General features: G+C 48.1%; 1 protein-coding gene and 1 long non-coding RNA gene across 4 annotated transcripts in view, besides 1 other annotated feature; one reads left to right on the top strand and one right to left on the bottom strand.

The window, feature by feature from the left end:
* PLXNA2 (plexin A2) overlaps positions 1–21,404 on the bottom strand; it is a 222,143-nt gene that overhangs the window by 183,283 nt on the left and 17,456 nt on the right. For all 3 annotated transcript variants that reach the window (NM_025179.4, XM_005273164.4, XM_005273165.5), the window contains exons 2-3: positions 11,211–12,478; positions 4,756–4,938 (exon numbers count right to left, since the gene is read on the bottom strand). In NM_025179.4, the coding sequence (NP_079455.3) occupies positions 4,756–4,938; positions 11,211–12,398 (1,371 nt within the window). In that variant the 5' untranslated portion in view covers positions 12,399–12,478. The remainder of the gene's footprint in view (positions 1–4,755; positions 4,939–11,210; positions 12,479–21,404) is intronic.
* Positions 1,266–20,392, top strand: LOC105372884 (uncharacterized). Its single transcript, XR_001738428.3, has 5 exons — positions 1,266–3,125; positions 4,026–4,144; positions 11,111–11,194; positions 19,125–19,183; positions 20,180–20,392. It is a non-coding gene; the product is annotated as an uncharacterized LOC105372884 (long non-coding RNA).
* Positions 14,140–14,434: an enhancer, noted in NCBI's record as "tiled region #12529; K562 Activating DNase matched - State 5:Enh". NCBI's record gives its function as "activates a minimal TATA promoter and a strong SV40 promoter by Sharpr-MPRA in K562 cells {active_cell/tissue: K562}" and the evidence as "EXISTENCE:reporter gene assay evidence [ECO:0000049][PMID:27701403]".

Here is a 21,404-nt window from a genome sequence, read left to right on the forward strand (position 1 = left end):
ACACCCAGGGGACCTTGGTCTTCCCTTTTCTGCTCCTCTTCTCTGCCTCAGCCTGTCCTCCTTCATCGCACGCTTTGCTGACAGAGCCAGAGAAACAGTGGCAGTATCATTGAGAAGATCTGAGATTTGATGCAGGAATCCCCTTGACAGCACCCTGGTTGGTGACCATCCAGTCTCTGCTTGCATATTTCCACTGACTAGGACCTCATTCCTTCCTGGGTCAGCTCTCACCATCACGGGACAGTCTGGCTGTAAAAAACGTCTTCCTTATATGAAGGGGAAAGCTGCATTGCTGTAACGCCTACCCAGTGGCCCTGTTCTGCCCTCTGGGGCCACACTGAATAAGCCTAATTCATCTTCCATAGCTTAATGGATAAGCCAGCAGATTGTAAAACCAGGTAATCACATTTCAAGTCCTAGCTCTGCCATTTTATTTGCTGTGTGACTTTATTATTATTTTTTAACCTTTCTTGACCTCCATTTCCTCATCTTTAAAATGGAGGTGATAATAGCACCTACCTCATAGAGTTATATAAAGAGTAAATGAGTTAACAGATATAAAGCTCTTCAATAGCATGTGACACATAATAAGTGCTCAGTAAATTATGTTATGTAAAGACAGCTGTTCTATGTCCTGCTTTATTCACTTTTTCCCTTCACATAGCATGATTCCCACATCGATCCAGCTCTTGTTTATCTGGCACTTGAGTTTGCTTAACACCCTCTTGCGATGTTATCTCCAAGGTAAAGTGGAGTCACTGTGTCTCGTGACATAGAAGCTGTTCTTCTATTATCATGATGAAGACTAACTTTGTTGAAGCAATATATCACAGAGTTGGCTCATGTCAACCTCACGGTTCGCTAAAATCCCAAGATCCTTTTCACTTGATCTCCTTAGGGCTTAAAGCCTCACAGGGCTCTCCCTCCCCTCTTACCTGTCCAAGTCTTCTGAGCTTCTCTGAATGTTGGACCTTCATTGCATATGCTTTGTACCTTCTCAGTGTGGCACCCAAGGTCTAGAATGCCCTTCTCTCCCCCAACTCATCAGTTCATCAGTTCTTCTGTCTCATCTAGTCTATAAGCAGACCCTGGTAATCTTCCTTTTCAGTAAAGCTTTGCAGATTGATCACACTATAGTTGCTGTTTTGTTTGAATTCTTCCACCCTTATGGTGAATCTTTGCATGTCTTCTTATCACCTGCAATGCACTGACCCTTAGCTTATGCAGCATTGCACATATAGGTTTTTTTTTTTTTTTTTTTTTTGAGACAGACTCTTGCCCTGTCGCCCAGGCTAGTGGCGCGATCTGGGCTCACTGCAACCTCCACCTCCCAGGTTCAAGCAATTCTCCTGCCTCAGCCTCCTGAGTAGCTGGGATTACAGGTGCATGCCACCATGCCCTGCTGATTTTTGTATTTTTAGTACCGACAGGGTTTCACCATGTTGGTCAGGCTGGTCTCAAACTCTTGTTTTTGTTTTGCTTTGTTTTGTTTTGCTTTTGAGATGGAGTCTCACTCTGTTGCTCAGGCTGGAGTGCAGTAGCATGATCTTGGCTCACTGCAACCTCCACCTCCTGGGTTCAAGCGATTCTCCCACCTCAGCCTCCCAAGTGGCTGGGACTACAGGCATGTGCCACCACGCCTAGCTAATTTTTGTATTTTTAGTAGAGACGGGGTTTCACCATGTTGGCCGGGCTGGTCTTGAACTCCTGACCTCAGGTGATCCACCTGCCTCGGCCTCCCAAAGTGCTGGGATTATAGGCATGAGCCACCGTGCCCGGCCTCACATACAGGTTTTGGGGACTTAACCTTATTCTGTCTGTTCCTTCCACATGTTTGCAGCTCAGAAGGCAGTGGTCTTGTCTAGGGTGCTCTCTATGCATCTTGCAGAAAGCAGTGTATAAGCAGCTATGTGGACACAGCACATAAGAGCGCCCTGTGGTCCTATCACTTCTAGCAAGTCTCTGCTTCCTCTAAACTTACATACACAGGGACATCCTGTTCCTACAGACCACAGTAGATGAGGGCTGGACAGCCTGACAGACGCCGGGAGAAGTGAGTAGTTCTGACGCACCCGGCTTCCCTTCCCTTTCCAAACTCTTAGCTATTTTTTTTCTTTATTTTCCTTCCTGTGTTGAAAGAGCTATGGGGCCTGGACCATAGTAGGGTTTCCTGGGGACATTCCATAAATTCTTCATGGGTTATTTCTCTGGAGAGGGGTGGGAGCAAGTAAGCTGGTAGATGGGAGGCCAGCAGGGGCCTGGGTATGAATGTCAAGTACCTCAAAGCAGCGTGGGTGGGAAGGAAGGGTGAGCTGCACAGAGGAGGAAGGAGGGGTGTCATGAGCTCATAGAAACCGCCAAAGAAAGGCCAAGCAAAGAGTGAGAAGAAGCAGCCAAATCACAGGTCAGAACAAGCTGTGGGTAACCACGCCCCCAGCTTTGCCCTTGAACCTGCTGACTGGTCTCCACAGTAACTTGTCCGTCAGGGTTTCAATAAGGCCAGGAGAACTTGGCCAACTCAGGTGTGTGACTTGGATAGATGCCAAGCAGCCCCTAGTGTGTGCTGTGCACGATGCATGGAGATATGGGGAAAGTCAACTCAAGGTCCCTTTGTATCTGGTTGGGTCCCTTTTCCTTTATTCACTTCTCATCCATCCATCCATTCAGCAAACACTGATTCCTTAATTCACATCTAGATCTGAAGAGAGTGAAAGCACTGGCCCCTAGCTGACCTCTGTAGCAAGCCTGGACCTGAAGATCATTCTCAGTCTCCCTCCCTGGGCTCTAGAGCTACTTCTTTAAGTAAAAATGGTGCCAAATTGGGTGTCAAGGCAAGAAGCAACTTGTCCTAGATCTCTATGCTTGGGCAAGTCAATTTTCTTCTCTGGACCTCAGTTTCCCTGTCAAATAATGAGAGTATTGGGCCAGGCAATCTCTAAGGTTCCTTAAAGAATGGTTCTATTTTTCAAAGCAGTTTTGAAGCCTATCCCATGAGTGAACACTCGGTGACAGGATTAAAGGGGAAGAAGGGAACAGTCCAAAAAGCATGACCCCTGCCTTTCACAGAACTTTCAAGAGAATCAAGGAGACAGAATGACACACATGACCTGGAGCAGTGACTGAAGGTAGGGGAAAGGTGCTCACGCTAGCCTGTGTGGTTTCTGCTGGCCCTTAGAGAGCCTGTGTGCCATTTAGGAAAAGGTGGTCCCTATGGGTAGATGACTTAGTAAGAGAAGTCCCATGAGCAGATGTTTATACCACAGGGTACATGATGTGACAGGGAGAGCTCAGGCTGGATTTCAACTCCCACTAGGCCCGTTAACACAATCCTCCTAGGCCAGGCACAATTTGCTCAACTGGATATGGTGACCCTGGCTGAGCAGGGAAGTAGCCGGCCTCAGGGTTCCAAGCTGAATTGCTTCTTGGTAGAAGCCACTTTTAAATCTTAGCAGAATTTCACACAGCAACTCCTTCCCTTCCCATTTTGGAAAAGCAAATGCAAGGACCACATTCTTTCTCTCTTCCATGTGCCGAAAAGCCAAGCTAGGGTCCCTAGTCCCAGGCAGAGTGGAGGGCACAGAAGAGGAACATGTAGGAACCTCTACAGCAAGTGAGGAAATGGTTAAATATCTTTGGTATCATGAGAACCAGAAGAAGCCTGGAGGGTTTAGCACTGCTAGGTGAACCCAGACCAGTTCTTCTCACCTCCCCTGGCAGTAATTCAGAACAAGCAGAACATAGAAATTCTTCCTTGGGCTCACTCCAGGTTACCCTCCTTCCACATTTCCAAACAACATCCCTCCCAAGGCTCTAAATGGATTAGGAGGAAAGAGCTCCAGGGTGATGTCAACATCAAAGGGTGAGATGCAGTGAGGTCTTGCATGTTCCTTGATCCACAGGTGCTGGGACCAGGGAAAGGTGGCAGGAGGGTAAGCTTGGGAAAAGGGATTAGCTGAGACCGGAAAGAATGTGGCTGCTCTAATCCCACATAATGAACCAGATTGTGCGCCCTCTCTGCACCCTAGGCACTAGACAAGCTGGTACAAGCTGTTGGCTTCAGCCTGCTGCACAAGAGGCCTCCCATGCTGCCATCCCCAGACAGCCTGTGCCCTCCAGCTGGCAGAAGTACCCTGGGAGGCGCAAGGTAAAATGTCTACTTCCACCTGGCAGCTTACATCTGGGTGGGGAGCTGGGAAGGGAAGAGTCTGTGATTGCAGGAAGAGGAAAGACTGGAGAATGGTGTTTTCTTCAGGCATCATATACCATCAGAGAGCAGCACCCACCGTTTACCCCAGGTCTTAGAATTGGGACCAGTAATCTGCTTCAACCAACTTCTCTGAATTCAACAAAGACCAGTATAATCAAGTTTACAGGTTCTAGGGAGGGATTTGCGATTTTGGAGATTTATAATGCACATAATCAAAAACTTAGTTTTGCTTGATTTGGGAATGAAGAGCAATTTTTTTTTTTTTTTTTTTTTGCTTTTGCAGATGTACCTTCTTAAAGTTTTTTCTTAAAGTTTGGGAAATATTGAAATACGCTTGCATTCCTTACATACCCAATGACTGATGGCTGGAGGAAGTAGCTAGAAGCTAAGTCACAAAATTAACCCCTTCTTACCTCCCCATTTCACCTTTGTTCCCCAAGAAAATAAAGTTGCCTATAGTTAAATCTCCACCAATAGCTACCTTCCAAGAGGGACTCTTTGCTGAGGAGGTGAATGGCATTGGAGCATCTGAACTCATAGACTCTTACCTTTTTCAGCTTGCCACTCTTAGTCCCCACAAAAACCACGCTGTAGCCGTTGTAAACGTAGGAGGCCACAGAGGTCATGCGGTCCCTGCTGGTGGTGTACAGGGTCAGGCCCTCCACTGGAGTTGAGCCTCCCAGGGGCTGGTTGATGTCCAGTCCACAGAAGTTATCATCGATGGGGACAGGCTGGAGGGAAGCGGAAGGAATTGGGGTGAGTAACAGTGGAGGCATGGTGAAGTCTCTACACGACCCATATCCACAACTTCCAGCCTTAGGACACCAGGCCTCAGAGAGGCAGACATGGGAGTTCAGGGGCCCTAATACAAGCTGCAGACAAAAACTTCTCACCAGCTCACCCACAAATTCCATGTTGGTTCTTATGAAGCCAGATGAAAGAACAGGCAGCAACCTTCCACTCAGCTGGCGTCACCTGTATCTACCTTTCTGCCAGGAGAACCAGGATCAATTTGTAAAGCTAAGTGCCTGAACTCATTTTCTATTTATTTTAATGTTCCTCAGGACCATGGCATTCTGTGGGATCTTTCTATTTCAGACAAGAGTTCCTTCAGTGGATAATCAGTCTAAAGGCAACATTACAGGATTTCTACCAGCCCAGAAAGGGTTTCTTGTTTGTTTCTTGGGCTGTAGGGTCTCCCTTTGGGTGCAAGAAATTTTAGGCCATTCAACTATCCAGTTGTTTAATATTTACCAGCACGTCACTGGAGCCAACCATGGGAATTCTAGCTCCCTACTATCTTTCCATACTGGAAAGAGATCAGAAGTGTCATAATGATATCGAACAGTACCTTATACTTTGGAAAAGTTAATCTACCTATGCCTCAGTTTCTTCCTTTGGAATAATACCTGCCCACCTTTCTGATAGAATTGTGAAGGAACAAATGAAATAATGCATGCAAAAGATTTGTGTTAAGTTGTCCAACTCTTTCCACTATTGTGCATTATAGATCTTCAACAATGTTTGGGTAAATATAATTAAGAGAGAATTCTGGAGGTGGTGTCCTTCATATTTCCAGCCTTTAAGGAGAGTGGTGGTGTGGCTCCATAATGTATCTGTCAGCAGCGACTGGAGCATGTTTGAAAGAAGATCACCTTGAGCAAGTGAAAAAAAAATTGTGGCCGGGCACGGTGGCTCACGCCTGTAATCCCAGCACTTTGGGAGGCCAAGGCGGGCAGTTCACGAAGTCAGGAGATCGAGACCATTCTGGCCAACATAGTGAAACCCTGTCTCTACTAAAAATACAAAAAATTAGCCAGGCGTGGTGGTGTGTGCCTGTAGTCCCAGCTACTTGGGAGGCTGAGGTGGGAGAATCGCCTGAACCCAGGAGGCGGAGGTTGCAGTGAGCCGAGATTGCGCCACTGCACTCCAGCCTGGGCGGCAGAACGAGACTCCGTCTCAAAAAAAAAAAAAAAAAAATTGCTGGAAAGAAAGTAGGAAGATCTTGATCCTATCCCCTGTTCTGCTACTAACTGGTTGTGAAAACTTGGACAAGCAGGGTCCTCTTGTAGGGCTCTTAAAGGGAATGTTAAATTGATGATTTCTAAGGTCTCAAGAAAGATCTTAGGTCTCTCATCTAAAAAAGAATGAAAGACAAAGACCATAATGCTTCCTGAGGCAGGGGCTGCTGAGGGGTTTGCATTCTGTACACAGTGCTCAGCACGGGGCTGGGTCAGAATGAGTGCTCTGACATGGCCCAGTTAATGGCACAATGTGGAATCCTGTGGCAAAGGCTGCAGGCTCTGGGCCAGAAAGAGCCCCGCATCCTGTGGCAGCTGTTCCTTCTGGGTCTGTGAAGGCATCCCAGAGGAGGAAGGAAATGGCTATCGTAGAAATCATAGAAAGCAGCAGAACAGCCTGCCCCCATGCTCCCTTCAGCCTCCTCTCACCCTCACCAGGGAAGAGCAGGCTGACACACCATCACTCGTTGACAGCCTCATTTCTTTGGAATAATTGGTTTATAAGTTATGGCATATGATTTTTTTTTTTAAACCAGGGACTTCCGTTCCTTTCTCTTCTCAGTCCCAAAAGGAGCAGAGACTCATTTTTTGTGGTTCCACAGTGTTTTGTAGAGAGCTGCTGCTCCTGTTACTGGTAGGAATGATGGTGCTGCACTTGTGTGTGTATATTCTTCAGGAAATAAAACAAATTTTTAGGTTAAGATGACTTTTGAACCCGGGATAATATTGAGCCCCACAGAGCAGAAGGAATGAGTTTCTCAGGAAGGGAGTGAAGCTGTGGTGTGCTGAAGCCAGCTGTTAGGGAATAACTGTGCATTCAGTGACATCCCATGATGCTTGAAATCAGCCAGGATAGGTGTATTTATACCATGGCAATTGGCAGAGGCTACAAACCAGAGCACTCCTCTCCCTCCCCTGCCTGCATAGAGCCAGTTATTTAATATTTACCAGCACACCACTGGAGCCAACCACGGGAATTCTAGCTCCCTAGAAAGGCAGGTCAGAGTTATCAGCTACACTTTTTACATTGTGTGCTTCTCTTCCTCATCTCATCCCTACACTACACGCAGCTACTGCCCTGGCTAAGATGAAAGTGATCCAGATTTTAGGCCTTTCTCTACTGAAACCAGCTGTGTGACCTTGATATGTCATGTACCATGTCTCAGCCTCAGTTTTCTCATCTGTAAAGTAAAAGTATTGGAACAGGTAATTGTCAAGCTTCCTTTGAGCTCTAAAAGTCCTTAATTTCATGGCTTCCATTTCTTTCCCACTTTCTGCAGGGCTGGTAAGGCCACAGAGTCTGGGCACAGGCGTAGCCCAAGTCAGCTTTTGAGAAATGATGACAGAAGCAAAAACCTGGTAATCCTAGATTTTGCTACTGTCTTATTGATTCTAGTATCTCCAGAACTATTAAAAAAAAAAAAGATTTATTCTCAGCCTAAGCCCTTAGGATTGGCTGGAATTTCTTTCCTCCTCAAGTTGTTTTTCAATATATTGTTAGATATTCCCAAACACCTGATGCACCTTTACTTTTGCTCAAATGGTGAGAGCTTGGTGTATGGCTTTCCTTGGAAACAGAAGGGCTCAATAGAGAGAGACTGGACTAAGAAGTAATACAGCCGAACTAAATTCAAATCCCCGCTTTATCACTTATAGCTGTGGAGATCTGAGCAACTTACTTAGTCTTTGTGAGCCTTTGTTTTTTAATCTGTAAAATGGGGAAGATAACTCTTGCTTTATGGGGTCATTGTGAGGAGCAAGTGAGATAACACTTAAATTGCCAAGCTTAGCCTTTAGGACTAGCTGCTATTCAATGAGTGATAGCCCCCTTCTTCCTCTCTTTTCTGGGATCAGAGCTCAAATTTTTGATCTGAGATTTCCATGTTATTCCAGAGTCATGTTAAAATCAAGCTCTGGGACCACAGCTTCTTTCATTTATCCTTATTCCCCTCTAAGGCCACCAAAATATTTCTGGGTCCCTGGGTCTTAGTTCTTTGGAGTATCAGGGTCTTTAAGGGGCCATTCCTCTTGCAGCCCTTGCACCAGAAGGGTGTGGTGCTGAAGGGGTGGAGGCAAGGGGCTCTCCACTCTAAGGTCCTGGCCCCACTCACTGTCACCTCTCTCCCAGTGCCTTTGCTATCCTTTTGTAACTAGCCCAGGCTTGTCCCTCTGCTCTGGAGCAGAGAAGAGTGTCATCTTCCTCTTTCCTCTGGCTCAGAAGCAGGCAGGAATCAGCAGTTTCCTCCTGACAAGGCCCCCTCTGGGTTATGGGAACTAGGCTGGACTCTGCAAGCATTTAACCCTTACGGAGGGTTACATTTCCTCTCCACCTCTCCACATTGGTTACGGCCAGTGGCCATAAAATTTTGGCGTTAAAAAAAAAAAAACCAAAGACTATCTAGTCTAGCTTCCTCATTTTACAACAGTAAGATAACTAAGAAAATAGCTGGCTCTTTACTACTGTGATTAATATTAATAATCATAGCGGCCCATTTATTGAATGCTTATTATGTTCCAGGTATTGTGCTAAGCACTTTACATAAATTTTCCATTTGATCCTCATAATAACCATGAAAAGAAGACAATATTATCTCTATTTTAAAGACGAAAAATTTACAGCTCAGACCAGGTACATAACTTGCCCAAAGTCACACAAGGAGTAAGTGGTAGGACTGATTTTTAATCCCCATCTGGTTTACTTCAAAGCCTTAACCACGACTCTTCTACCACACCAAGCAAATGATGACAGGAATAGAAGCGTAGCCTTGGAATGATGTTTTCTTGCTTCAAGTACTGGTGCTTGGTCCCAACGGCAGGCACCTTCAATTTAGAGTACTCAGAAGGTAGCCGTATGGGCCCCTTGGTCTCATATATTTTTTTCTAGGTTGCAGATCCAGAGCCCTCAGCACTGTGTACAAGAAACCTACTTTTGCACTTCTCACACTCCCTGTTAACTCCCTGTGTAATAATAAACCTAACATTTCCAGGCATGGTGCTAATCTCTCCATGTATTATCTCATCTGATCATCCCATGAGCTAGGCATTATTATTTCCATCTCACAGATAAGAATGTAGAGATGCTAAGGTGCTTCTGAAGAAGGCAGGAAGAAACACAGATGGAATTTGAAGCCTGGCTTTTGTCTCAGAACCTCAAACTCTGAGCCACTACATTATGTTGCCAGCTGTCTCTAGCTCTCTCTCTCTTCCTCTCTCTCTCTCTCTTCCCCCTACTAGATTATAAGATCTGTGAGACTAGTGATCATGTCTTTTTTTTTTCTGAGACAGGGTCTCACTCTGTCACCCAGGCTGGAGTATAGTAGCACAATCTTGGCTCACTGCAACCTCCACCTCCCATGCTCAGGCCTCCAGAGTAGCTGGTACTACAGGTGTGCATCACCACACCCAGCTAATTTTTGGAATTTTTGTAGAGACGGAGTTTTGTCATGTTGCCCAGGCTGGTCTCGAACTCCTGAGCTCAAGCAATCTGCCTACCTTAGCCTGCCAAAGTGCTGGGAGTACAGGTGTGAGCCACCGCACCCAGCCGATCATGTCTTTTTATGTTTGCAACCCCAGTGCCTAGTACAGTGCCAGGCATTCAGAAGATCTTCAATACTACTTGTAAATGAATAGAGGGATGGGTAGATGGATGATGGTGGATGAATAAAGAGAGGGATGAATGGATAGATGGAGGGCTAGGTAGACAAATGGATGATGGATAGATAAAGATATGGAGACATAGATTAAGGGAGAAAAAAGAGGGATGAGTGGATAAAGAGATGGATGAAGGGATGGAGGAAGGGATGGAGGAAAGAATGAAGGGAAGGATCAGGGACAGATGAATGGAGGTTTAGGTAAATAGGTGAATAGATGGATGGATGGATGATGGATGGATGGATGGATGGAGAGATGCATGGAGGGAGAGAGCTAAGGAGGATGGAGGGATAGATGGATAGGAGAATAAAAGGAGGGAAGGAAAGGGGATGGATGAAAGGAGAGATGGGTGGATAAATGAATGGATGATTGGATGGTTGGATGAATGATGGAAGAAGAGTGGATCATGAATACTTTGATGGCAGCACCATGAGCCGCTGACAGGGCAGTGCTTGCCACTGATTTTCTTGTCTCTGCTTTCCTCAGGTCTGGATTCTGAGCTTTTCATCCTCTCCTCTTTTGCCTTTGCCCACACTCCTGATTCTTCTCCAGTTTTCCATCAGTTGGTCAAGCCAGACTCCCTTCCCTCTCCTCTGACTTAGATTTCTGATCTCCACTTGACCCCCTCACTGGGAACCACAGTGGCCTACAGCTCTGTGTGTACATGACCTGGTCCCCATTACTTCTGATGGACCCCATCACCTGCTGCTCTTTCTCTCACATACTCTGATCTGGCTGCAGTTGCCTCCTTACTGTTCCTCAGACACTCCAGGCATGCCCTGAATTCTTTGCACATTCTCCTCACCCTTTCTCTCTCTGGAATGCTTTCTCTGGACACTTGTGTGGCTCCCTTTCTTCCCATCCTCAGTTTTTGCTTAGACACCACTTTCTCAATGAGTCAGTCCTCTCAGCTACTGCCTCTCCCCCTTTCCTGTTTATTTTTCTCTATAGCCATTATCACCATTTGGCAAACTAACATGTATTATGTGTTCATTTGTCTCACCCAACTAGCGTGTAATCTCCATGAGGGCAGTGAGCTTTGTAGGGTTGTATGGTTCACAGCTGAAGCCTGCAGCATTTACAATAGCACCTGATGTGATGTAGGCACTCAATACATATATTTGAAATGACAACAAATCAACACACATATCTCAAGTATCTGGTGTACGTAAGACCCTGCGTTATTGGTTACCACCTGATAACCTGAGTCTGAAAACCTCTTTCATTTCAGGTCCATGGTGGTGTGGGAGCAGATGTGCCCCAGGGCATGGACAGGAAGGTTGGAACCTGTGTCATGGAGCAGGAGCAGAGCGAGGTGTGTGCCTCCTTACCGCCTTGGTGCACTGGACGTCCTTCCCCAGCAGCCAGTTGAGCTCCAGGTTGCCCTCGCCCTGGTAGCAGGACTGCAGGCGCTCCTTGATCTGCAAGTTGATGGCCCGGATAGGGAAGGCACACAGGGCAGAGTCATCGGGCGGGTGGTGATACTGCTTCTGCCCTTTGGAGAAGATGGCAAAGAGTACATCGTCCTGGCTGGTGATATTGAAGGCCTGGGCCAGTGAGTCCCCAGGCTTGGCCAGGTAAGCAGCCTGCAGGAGGCGGTATTCCACCCCGGCCCGGGTGCAGCCGAAGGGCAGGGACACGTATGAGTGGAACTTGGGGTCATCCTTGCAGAGCCGCACGATGCGTGAGGTGTAGAAGAGGTCTCCAGCGGAGTTGATGGCCACACCCTCAGGGGTCTCGGGCTGGACAGTGAGAAAGTAGACAAAGCCCCCACTAGCAAAGCCGTAGATGTAGAAGATGTCAAAGTGGGAGACCAGGGCCAGGGTGTCTGAAGGGATCTTGATGAGAGAGGAGACAAAATCGCTGTGTAGCTCATAGTCGAGCATGGCTGAGGACTCAGGGTCTCGGGGCAGCTTCCGGCTGGACAGGGTCGGGAAGTAATCCTGCTTCCCATCCACAGCCGTGCCGATGAAGAGCTTGCCATCCTCACCCTCAGAGCGCACAATCACCCCGTACATGGTGCCCGTCTTGTTGACACTGGACAGGTAGTGCTCCTTCTTGTGGGATGGCTCCACCAGGATGAAGAGGTCATCCAGCCGCAGCAGCTTGCAGACCCCCTGGTAGAGGCTCCCACAGGCCAGCAGGCGGTTCTCAGAGTAGTCAATGATGAGCAGCTTGTTGACATTGTTGGTGAGGGTGAGCACTTCGCTGCAGGGCTGCACGATGAGGGGCGGGTAACAAGACTTGTTGTCCTCTTCTGGCCCTGTCTTATGAGCCACCTGGATGGTCAGGTTGCCTGTCAGCTTATAGACCCGGTTGATGGCCCCCACATAGACGGCCCCCGTCCCTTGGTGGACGGTCAAGTGGTTGAAGGTCCAGTCACGATTCTCAGAGTGGAAGGTGCTGAACTGAGGCATGCCGGCTGCTGGGGGGGCCAGCAGCACCCAGACCACTGAGAGCAGGACCACAGAGCGGCTGTCCACCTCCAGGGCCCGGGGCCAGGGCCGCCTCTGTTCCATGCTGAGAGGGGCGGCGGTGAGGAGACGGCTCCTGTGTGTGCTCATCTGCTCCACCTTCCCCGGTTGGCCCTCACATGATTCTGCAAAACACAAGGCAGAGTGGTCAGACCAAAAATAATTTCCGGGAGGAGCAAAGAGGCTGGCCTGACCCAGGGTCCCCATCCTGGTTTAGCTCTGTGAGTCTCCTCCTTCTGCATTTTGGTTTTTCTATTTTTAACATACTTTCTCCCTCTTAGGAATGTTCAGGGAATCCTGTTATCTATTTTGGTCTCTAGCCTTTATGCTATAAAATACTTGCTTTTTTTAAAATTTTATTTTACAAAGCATCTCTATTTCTGGCCCCTTAAGCCATCGTTTTCATCTCCCAGAGAGGTTAAAAGGCTGTTGAAGTTCACCCAGCCAGTCAATTTGATATTAGGACTAAACCCAGTCTTCCCTATCCTACCGGCACGTCTTATCCCAGCCCAGTGGAAGTCGCTCCTGTTTTTTGAAAGCTTGTTAGGCAGGCCCTCCCCCAGGCTCTCCAGGTCAACTGCTCCCAGAGTCTGATATTGCACACAAAATTCCTTCCTATTTTAGACTTCCATCACCTCACTCCGCTGCATCTCTTCACTTTCTCATGCTCTGTTATCCACAGAGAGGCAAGGAGCTGGTCACCCTGAGTGAGAGTGCCCTGCTCTGCCCTCAGCCCTTTCTTCTCCAGCAAGAAGAACCCCTGATCACTAGCTGTTAGAACAGCTGTTAGAACTTGTTAGGAAAGGGAAAAATGTTGTAGCCAACAAGACTGGGATTCCCACATGTGCCATTCCGGAGCCGGAAAAGCCCTCGGGAGACAGGCAGATCTCTTGAGATTCCCCCATCCTTCTCAAGGTGGACGCCCAGCTGCTGCCAGGTAGCCAGGTCCTCGGGAAATTGCTTCAACCTCTGCCTCTCTGCAGGCAGAGCACATGGGAAGCCAGGACACACAGAGAACCAGTCTCCTTGCTAGGGGTTACTGGCTGGCTGAGTCCAGCTTCAGCCACCTGGGGCAGGGGTACCAGATTTGGGAGAATGTGGGGAGCAGCAAAGGGTGGTGAGGTGAGATTCAGTCTCATTTCAGGCACTGCTGGGGCCTCCTGACTGTTTCAGCATCCATGAAATCACCAGCGGGCCTCAGTGGGCCATGCTCGAAGCCCAGTCTCTAGCCCTGACTCCTTTACTCTTCCCCCTGCCTCCTGACTCCCAGGCTTTAAGGCTCCTCCACTTCCAGAGCCTTGGTGCTTATTCTTCCCTGTTCCAAGGAAGCTGCCCAGAGGGGCAAGGTGGGGCTCCTGAGGACAGCCTGTAGCCAGGGGCAGTCTGGGCCAGGGGCAGGAAGTCAGAGAGCAGAGCCTGGAGGTCAGAGAGCAGGACCTGGAGGTCAGAGAGCAGGGCCTGTTCCATCACTATCATGGTACTGTCCTGACTTATGGAGAGGGACAGTGGGAAGTGACTGCGGCACCAGGAGAAGGCAGCGAGCTGTCCGGCAGAGAAAGCTTTTCTCAGCTGGAAGATCATCCAGCAACCTTCTCAGGCAAGTCCAGACAGAACTCTGGGCACATAAGGTGGCAGGGATGGAAACACCCGAAGGATGGAGAGTTTGCTCCAAGGCAGCTTAGGAGAGGCCTTTCTCCCTCAACTCCCCATTCTGGCTGGATTGGGTTATAATTAGAACAGACACCACTTAGAGAATCCCCTAGAGTTTCTTTAGGAACGACCCTTCCTCTTGTTCAGTTCTGCATCCTCGGCCTGGCAGCCACCGTGGTGCCACAGTAGGTCCCACCTAACTCCCTCCTCCAACCCGACTCCCCCAGGGTGTTCGGGGTGACTCATGAGGCCCTGGGCTTCCTTGGAAAGAGGAAGGCAACACCGGCATGAGACTCAGGCTGACCTCAGCTACTCCGACACAGCCCTTCCGGCCCCAGGCGCACACCGGCAAAGCCTCCCAACAGACAGGGCTTTCAGTTTGGAAACCAGAGGTTATTTTTAGCTATGTCCTGAGGCCGGTAGCAGGACGTGAATTCCTGAAGAGGAGCTGTGGAAAGGAAATAACAGAATCCTTAAATTCTCCAGCTGGATGGGGAATTGCAAGAGGCCATTCTCTGCCCCTGTCGCTGGGAAGAAAATCTCCTTGGGTTCCAGGTGGAGAGTGGTTCCTCCTTGAGGAGCCGCGAGGGGAGGAAGGGGGTTCTGGTAGCAGAGATAACATGGAAGGACTTAGTATGCGGTTAAGATCAGCCACCTCACCTCCCTGCTTGGTATCCTCCCAAGACACAGTTTGAATAGTGAGTGGCTTTTGTTGTTGTTAGACAGAATCTGGGAACAAATTTGGGATTTGAGGCAAGTCAAGTCTCATGTCCCTTTCTGGTAGAATGGGAATAACTACAGTATGTACCTTTCAAGTTGTCATGACAGTAAATGAGACAATATAGAGACCAACCTCTTAGCATGGTTGCAGGCACACAGTGAGCACTTAACTTATGTTAGTTTTTGTTATTATTATTATTATTGAGACAGAGTCTTGCTCTGTCGCCCAGGCTGGAGTGCAGTGGTATGATCTCAGCTCATTGAGACCTCCGCCTCCCTGGTTCAAGCGATTCTGCTGCCTCAGCCTCCACAGTAGATGGGACTACAGGCACGTGCCACCACACCCGCCTAATTTTTTTTTTTTTTTTGTATTTTTAGTAAAGACAGGGTTTCACCATGTTGGTCACACTGCTCTCAATCTCCTGACCTCGTGATCCACCTGCCTTGGCCTCCCAAAGTGCTGGGATTACAGGCGTGAGCCACTGCACCTGGCCTGTTATTGTCTTTGAAGACTCCACAGGAGATGGCACTTCTGAAATCCTGCCACAGCTCTTGACTTCTCTTTTTGCTTATATTCTTCCTTTCCCACCCACAATGAGATGAACACTGTGGGTGTGCCTTTGATCCCTAGGCCTCCCCGACCCAGTGACAGAGCTCAGTCTGGGAAGCATGTGGCAAGGGGAAAGAAATAGATCCAAGGTGATCTTCTTTGTCATACTACTGCACAAGTCCCAATATAGCCTCTCCGCAGACTGCAGGAAGGCTGGTGGAAACACAGGATCCTGAGAGTTAGACTGAGAATGAGAAACGTCCTGATGTCTAGAAGGCATGAGGTCACAGGGCAGGAAGAAAGGTGGGAGACTCAGGAACCCTGGGTTCACATTCTGCCTGTGTGACTCATGAATTATAGTGTCACTCACTTTAGACCAGTCTGGCATTTCCATGAGCCTATTTCTTGATCTTAAAACAAAAGGTATTTGAATTAGTCAACCTATAAGATTTCCTTTTTCAGATAAAATGCTACCTCGAAGCTTAGTTCCTTCAGTTCCTGGAGTCTGTGATTCCAATAGCAGCTGAGGTTTTTTGCTCCAACCTGGAGAGGCTGATTAGGTCAGGAGCTTTTTTCTTTTTCTGTTTTTTTTTTTTTTTTTTTTTTTTTTCAGGCCAGTAGTTCTAAACAGACCACTCCAGCTGGGCTGTTTTCCTCTCACCCTCATGCAGCATTTGCTTTGGGACAGGCCACTCCTGATAACCAGCCAAGTGAATTCATCTCACAGGACTCAGGGACTGCCCGCCTGGGAGCAGCTGTCATTGGACACTGGAGTCAAGAGGAGGCACAGTCTCCTGCAGTGAGGGGAGGTTTGCACCCCACCTTGGGAGTGTGGCCTTCATGAAGACAGCTGACTTCAAGGGCACGTTGAGAGCCTTCATCTTTCTATGCCAAATTGATGTGACTAAGTGGCTGTTCCAAGCAGAGCCCAGTGGGCAAAGATCAGGACTCCTATCCACATTCTGAGTAAGGGAGGATGGAGCCCACCTTTGTGCCTCTGGTGAGAGGCAGTGCGATATAACAATTAAATGCATGAGCTCTGAACTTAGGTGCCTGGACGCAAATGGAGCCTATAGCTGTGTACACTTGGTCAAGGTACTTAGCCATTCTATGATGTTATCTAACTATCTATATAAAATAGGTTTAGTACTAGTAGCTACGTCATAGGATTATTACAATGAAATCAGTTAATACATATAAAAGCACTTAGAACAGTTCATGGCCATCTTAAGTGTTTAAGATACATTAGCCTTTGTTATTAGCAATTTATTTGTCATTATTTCCAGCTCCTCACCTCCATCCATCCCATCATCTGTCTTAGAATGAATTTCCCATCCTCAGTTTGGTAGACACTGGTAAACAAACATGCATTTGACTTTGCATACCCAGTGTGACTTCCTCCTATCCCCAATTTTCTGCTAGTGTCAACCTCAGGAGTTTTCTCTTAATAATGATGCTTTCTTCTTTCTGTCACATCCCTCTCTGTTTAGTGCATGAAGTCACTTGTCACATGCATTCTCAAGAGCCAAAACTTGCCTAGTCTCTGTTCTACCAGTTTCCCTCTCTCCTACTCCAAGTCTCAAACCAGGTATGCTGCTCCAGGACTCTCGCCTGAACAAGAGAGTCTCCCAGCACATGTAACTCGGAGCGTTCCTGATGCCAAGGAGAGGCCACGCTTGCCTCTTTGGGAAGCAAGTGCCACTAAATATTTTATGTGGAGGGCCCGATGACACCATCTCCCCGATCAGGATTCAGGAGGCAGGTGTTAGTGACAGCTAGTGAAGGCATCTGATACCTTCCTGATCAGCTGCTGCGGGCGTCAGTGGCAAAGCAGGGAAGAAATGACAATCAGGCGTTTCCAGTTCAGCTCAGTAGAGGATTGTCTCCTCCCTGCTACCCTCTCCTATTGCCCTTTTCAGGAGATCTGGGTGCACATGCCTCTACGTTTCCACTTGGCTTTCCCTTATAGCAAAAGGAGCTGGTGGAAAGAGAATTTAGATTTGAAATACGATTTTGCCAAATTGAGTCAAAGTTCCTGTTAGTAGCTCTCATACCCGTGGGCCCATCTGTAGCTCCACTTGCCACTAACTCCATTCCTAACAACCCTGTCATCAACATCATCGTCACCTCCAGCACCATCCTGGAGCTGACAGTTTTCATAACAATAACAGCAAAGGGTGCCTACTATTACTACTGCACCTACTAGGGAGCTCACACACTCTGAGGAGCCAGACGGTGGTAGGGAAAAGATGAGCATGAAAATGAGGGCTGTGAAATCAGGGAAGTTAGCAGCTGTTCCTGGAAGTCACTTAGCCTCCTTCCTTTCCCATGATGGAGAGGAGTCCGTCTTCTCCTTCAGCTCTTCCTTCTAATGAGTAGTGCCTTTAAAGCAGGAGAATGCTGAGGGAGATTATAAGATTATTCCAACCCACTGTTTTTTTTTTTTTTTAATATGAAAGACACCACAGCCCACAGAAAGGAAACAAATTGACCAGGGCGACTCAAAGTGAGTCAGAAACAGGCTGCAGTCAGAACCCAGACCTCATGACAAAAAGGCAGGCGCTTCCTCCATTGTAGGTGGAAGGGTCCTGGGAGTTAGTTACGTTTTGCCTTCAGGCTGTCCTGTTTTCGGGAAAGTGGATGCCTTTGATAATAGCCCCATGATACGCAGAAGTGAGTGTGGCATTGGGCCTGGACAACGAGGTGGTGCTCAGGGCAGATTCAAAGAGGGGCGGATTAAGGGGCAGAATGAAAGAAAGACACATGTCCGAATGGCTCCTTTCCCCCTTGGGGAGAATGATTGCTTCTGTCCTCTTCTAGGCCCAGGCAGGCCCAGGCAAATGTCACACTCAGGACCGTCACCTATGCTGTAACTTGGGGGCTATGGTGTCCTCTGCCACAACCCCACGGACAGGTCAGATTTAGTCTATGCACAGAAAGCTCCTTCTTCCCAAAGAGTTAGAGCTACAGCAGAAGGGATTAAAGTTAGATATTAAGGGGGACATTCTGCCTAGAGAGGATCTGCAGAGCATCCTGCCAAGGAGATTCTGAAATTTTCTGATATTGAATTTTCCTGGAAGCTGCCTAGGAATCAGTTTACCTAGAGGCAGGGGATTGGTCCCAATGATCTCAGAAGGCTCCTTTTGGTTTAAGATTTCTGTGAGAATAAAATTGTCTAAATGTGAGAGTCTGAGGCCCCATCTTTTCCCCGTGGGTGGAATGCTACTGAAGGACCTGTCTTCATATCCCTTGTGCAGCTGTACGTGCAAGCATTCTGAGCATCGCTCTGTCTAACACCGACCTTAGAGGTAGTCCAGGCACGTTGGGTAGCACAAGGTGAGCAAGAGGGCGAACGCAAAAGCCCCGGGTAATGCCGACGGCTGAAAGTCCTCAATTAGAGTGAAAGGAGTTATCTGGTATTTAAATAATTATTAGAGTGAAGGAATAATCATGGGTTTGAGCTGATTTTTTCCCCACTGTCACTCTGATGGCGTCTATAATATTATTATTCAAATGCCCATGATTCTCATTGAGAACCAAGAGAGAGGAGAGAGTGGGGGTGAGGGGGTGGGGAGCAGGGAGAGGGTGGGGAGAGAGACTCATTTAATCTCCATGTGACAGGGCTGCAGGAGGTACGATTAGTCTTTTTCTTATTTCAGCTGTCACTCATGCACAGACACCGAAGATTGTTATTAGTATATTTTATGCACGCGATTTAAAGGGAAAAGGGGGAGGGGGGTGAGGAGAGAAAGAATTTCCTATGGAAAATAGCGGGACCAAAGGAACAATTTAGATGTCACTTCTGTACCAGCTGCGTTTGCTTCATTAATCGAATGTCATTTTTTCCCTAGACTCTGTGCGGTTATGTGAAGCGAAGTGGCTATACCTTGCCCCAGAGTGAAGAAGGAAGGTGAGAGGAGAGAGGGGAGGAAAATAGGTCTCTGCCTGCATGTACCCTTGGCAGCCTTCTCTGAGAAGGTGACACAGATGACACTGTGGCCCCTCCAGGAGGTGTCAAGACAAATTTGGGTGACAATTTCTACCCAGTCACCCTCTCTTACTATGAGAAGGTGGATCTCCTGCTTATCTTCATATATGCGATTCGTTTCACAGGTGGGATAAACTACATCCACGCTCCAATAACCAAGGAGTAAGAGATGGAAATTTGGGGAGGCTCTCAAAATCTCGATCAGTAATAAGGAAAGAACCCATACTCCAGGCGGTGAGGCAGCAGGGGCTGTGAGAGGGGAGCTGCGTGCGGCTCTCAGCTTTGGACAAGGCCCTTAGATCTTACATATGTGCGTGACAGTGAGGGACCCTCCATCTCTGCAGTGGTGAACAGAGGCAGGGTAATGGGGCACAAGTGCAGGGGCTGGATACTAGCAAGAAAGCGAGGGATTGAGTTAAAGGCTGAATTGTGTCCCCTGGAAATTCCTGTGTTGAAGCCTAACCCTAAGTACCTCAGAATGTGTTCTTATTTGAGACGGTGTCTTTTGTTACTGTTGTTTTGGTTTGGTTTTTTTGAGACGGGGTCTCGCTCTGTCTCCCAGTCTGGAGTGCAGTGGCGCGATCTCAGCTCCTTGCAGCCTCCATCTCCTGGACTCAAACCATCCTCCCACATCAGCCCTAGGAACCACAGGGATCTGTGGGGCCACAGGCACCTGTCTACACCTGGCTAATTTTTATTTTTATTTTTGTAGAGATGAGGTTTCATGATGCTAGCCAGGCTGGTCTTGAACTCCTGGGCTCAAGTGATCCTCTAGCCTCGGCCTCCCAAAATGCTGGGATTACAGGCGTGAGCCATGGCACCCGTCCCTGAGACAGGGTCTCTACAGAGGTAATCAGGTTAAGATGAGGTCACTAGGGTAGGCTCTAATGCGGTGTGATCTGGTGTCCTTATAAAAAGGGGGAAATGTGGAGCCTGAGACAGACACTCACAGAGGCCAGGTGATGTAAAGAGACATCCACATCCTCATCTGACCATCTACAAGCTCAGAAGAGAGGTCTGGAACAGCTCCTTCCCTCACAGCCATCAGAAGGAATCAACTCTGCCCACATCCTCATCTGGGACTTCCCAGTTTCTGAACTTGGAGAAAATAAATTTCTGTTATTTAAGCCACCTGGTCTGTGATACTTTGTTACAGCAACCCTGGCAAACTAATACAACAGGGAGGAGAAAGGCACTCAAACTTCATGGTTCAGGAATTGTTCTTTTAAAGGAGAGGGGTCTGGGTGTGCAGGCACACGAAAATTTGCAGAGATAGGCGGGTATCTCTGACTCCTGCTGCCTTCACCTAGCCCAGAAAACAGTAGCCCAGAGAACTCACTTGCTCTGCCCATGATAGCTTTGGGATGCGAATTAGGATGTGCTGATTTCTGCTGTTCCTGCAGAGTGGACCCTACCCTTTTTTTGCTTCTCCTGCCCAGAAGAGTGAATCTGCCACTTGCCAGACCCCAAGGAGAGATCTCTCTCACTCCCACCCCGGCTCCTCCTCCAGGCACAAGCCCTGTCCTGGGACTGCTTTTAACGTCAGGGAGAGATTTCTGTTGTTTTTTTTTTCCCAGGTCTCCCAGTAGGCTCTGATCGAGCCCTGGAAACCACACCAGCTCTCCCAGGGCCTTAGCAAAACATGTAGTGTTTGTCCTCTCCACTCACAGGCTATAAAAGTTTGGAGTTGTATCCCTGAATTATGAAGGGTTCCAAGATGTGCACTCATCTGAGGGGCTGGCGGGGGCTCTGTTTCTTTCTGGGGCACTGGCTGAGCTGGCTTTGCAAAGTCAAAACAAGATTCATTACCCTGGGGCCGGGAGCAGGGAGATACACCGCCTGACCCTGCAGACCTGCCCCATATGTCATGGGCCTGTCAGAAATCTCCCAGAATTCCCTTTATTATCTAAAGGTCGCCACCCGGGCAGAGCTGAGAGAGCCGCATGGTATAAACTAAAATACAAGAACAATCAATTTCAAGCAGCTGCCTTCCCTGCCACCCCATCCCCTGCTCCCCCTTCCTTAGGCTCTGCCCTCTTCAACCCCCTTTGGGGGAGGGTCAGGAAGGAGCCCTGCTTTGCCATGGCCACCTCCCCGCTGGGTCAGAAAGAATTTCTCCAAATTAGCAGGGCTCTGATGCTAT

Source organism: Homo sapiens, chromosome 1, assembly GCF_000001405.40.
Source record: "Homo sapiens chromosome 1, GRCh38.p14 Primary Assembly".
Classification (NCBI taxonomy): Eukaryota; Metazoa; Chordata; class Mammalia; order Primates; family Hominidae; genus Homo; species Homo sapiens.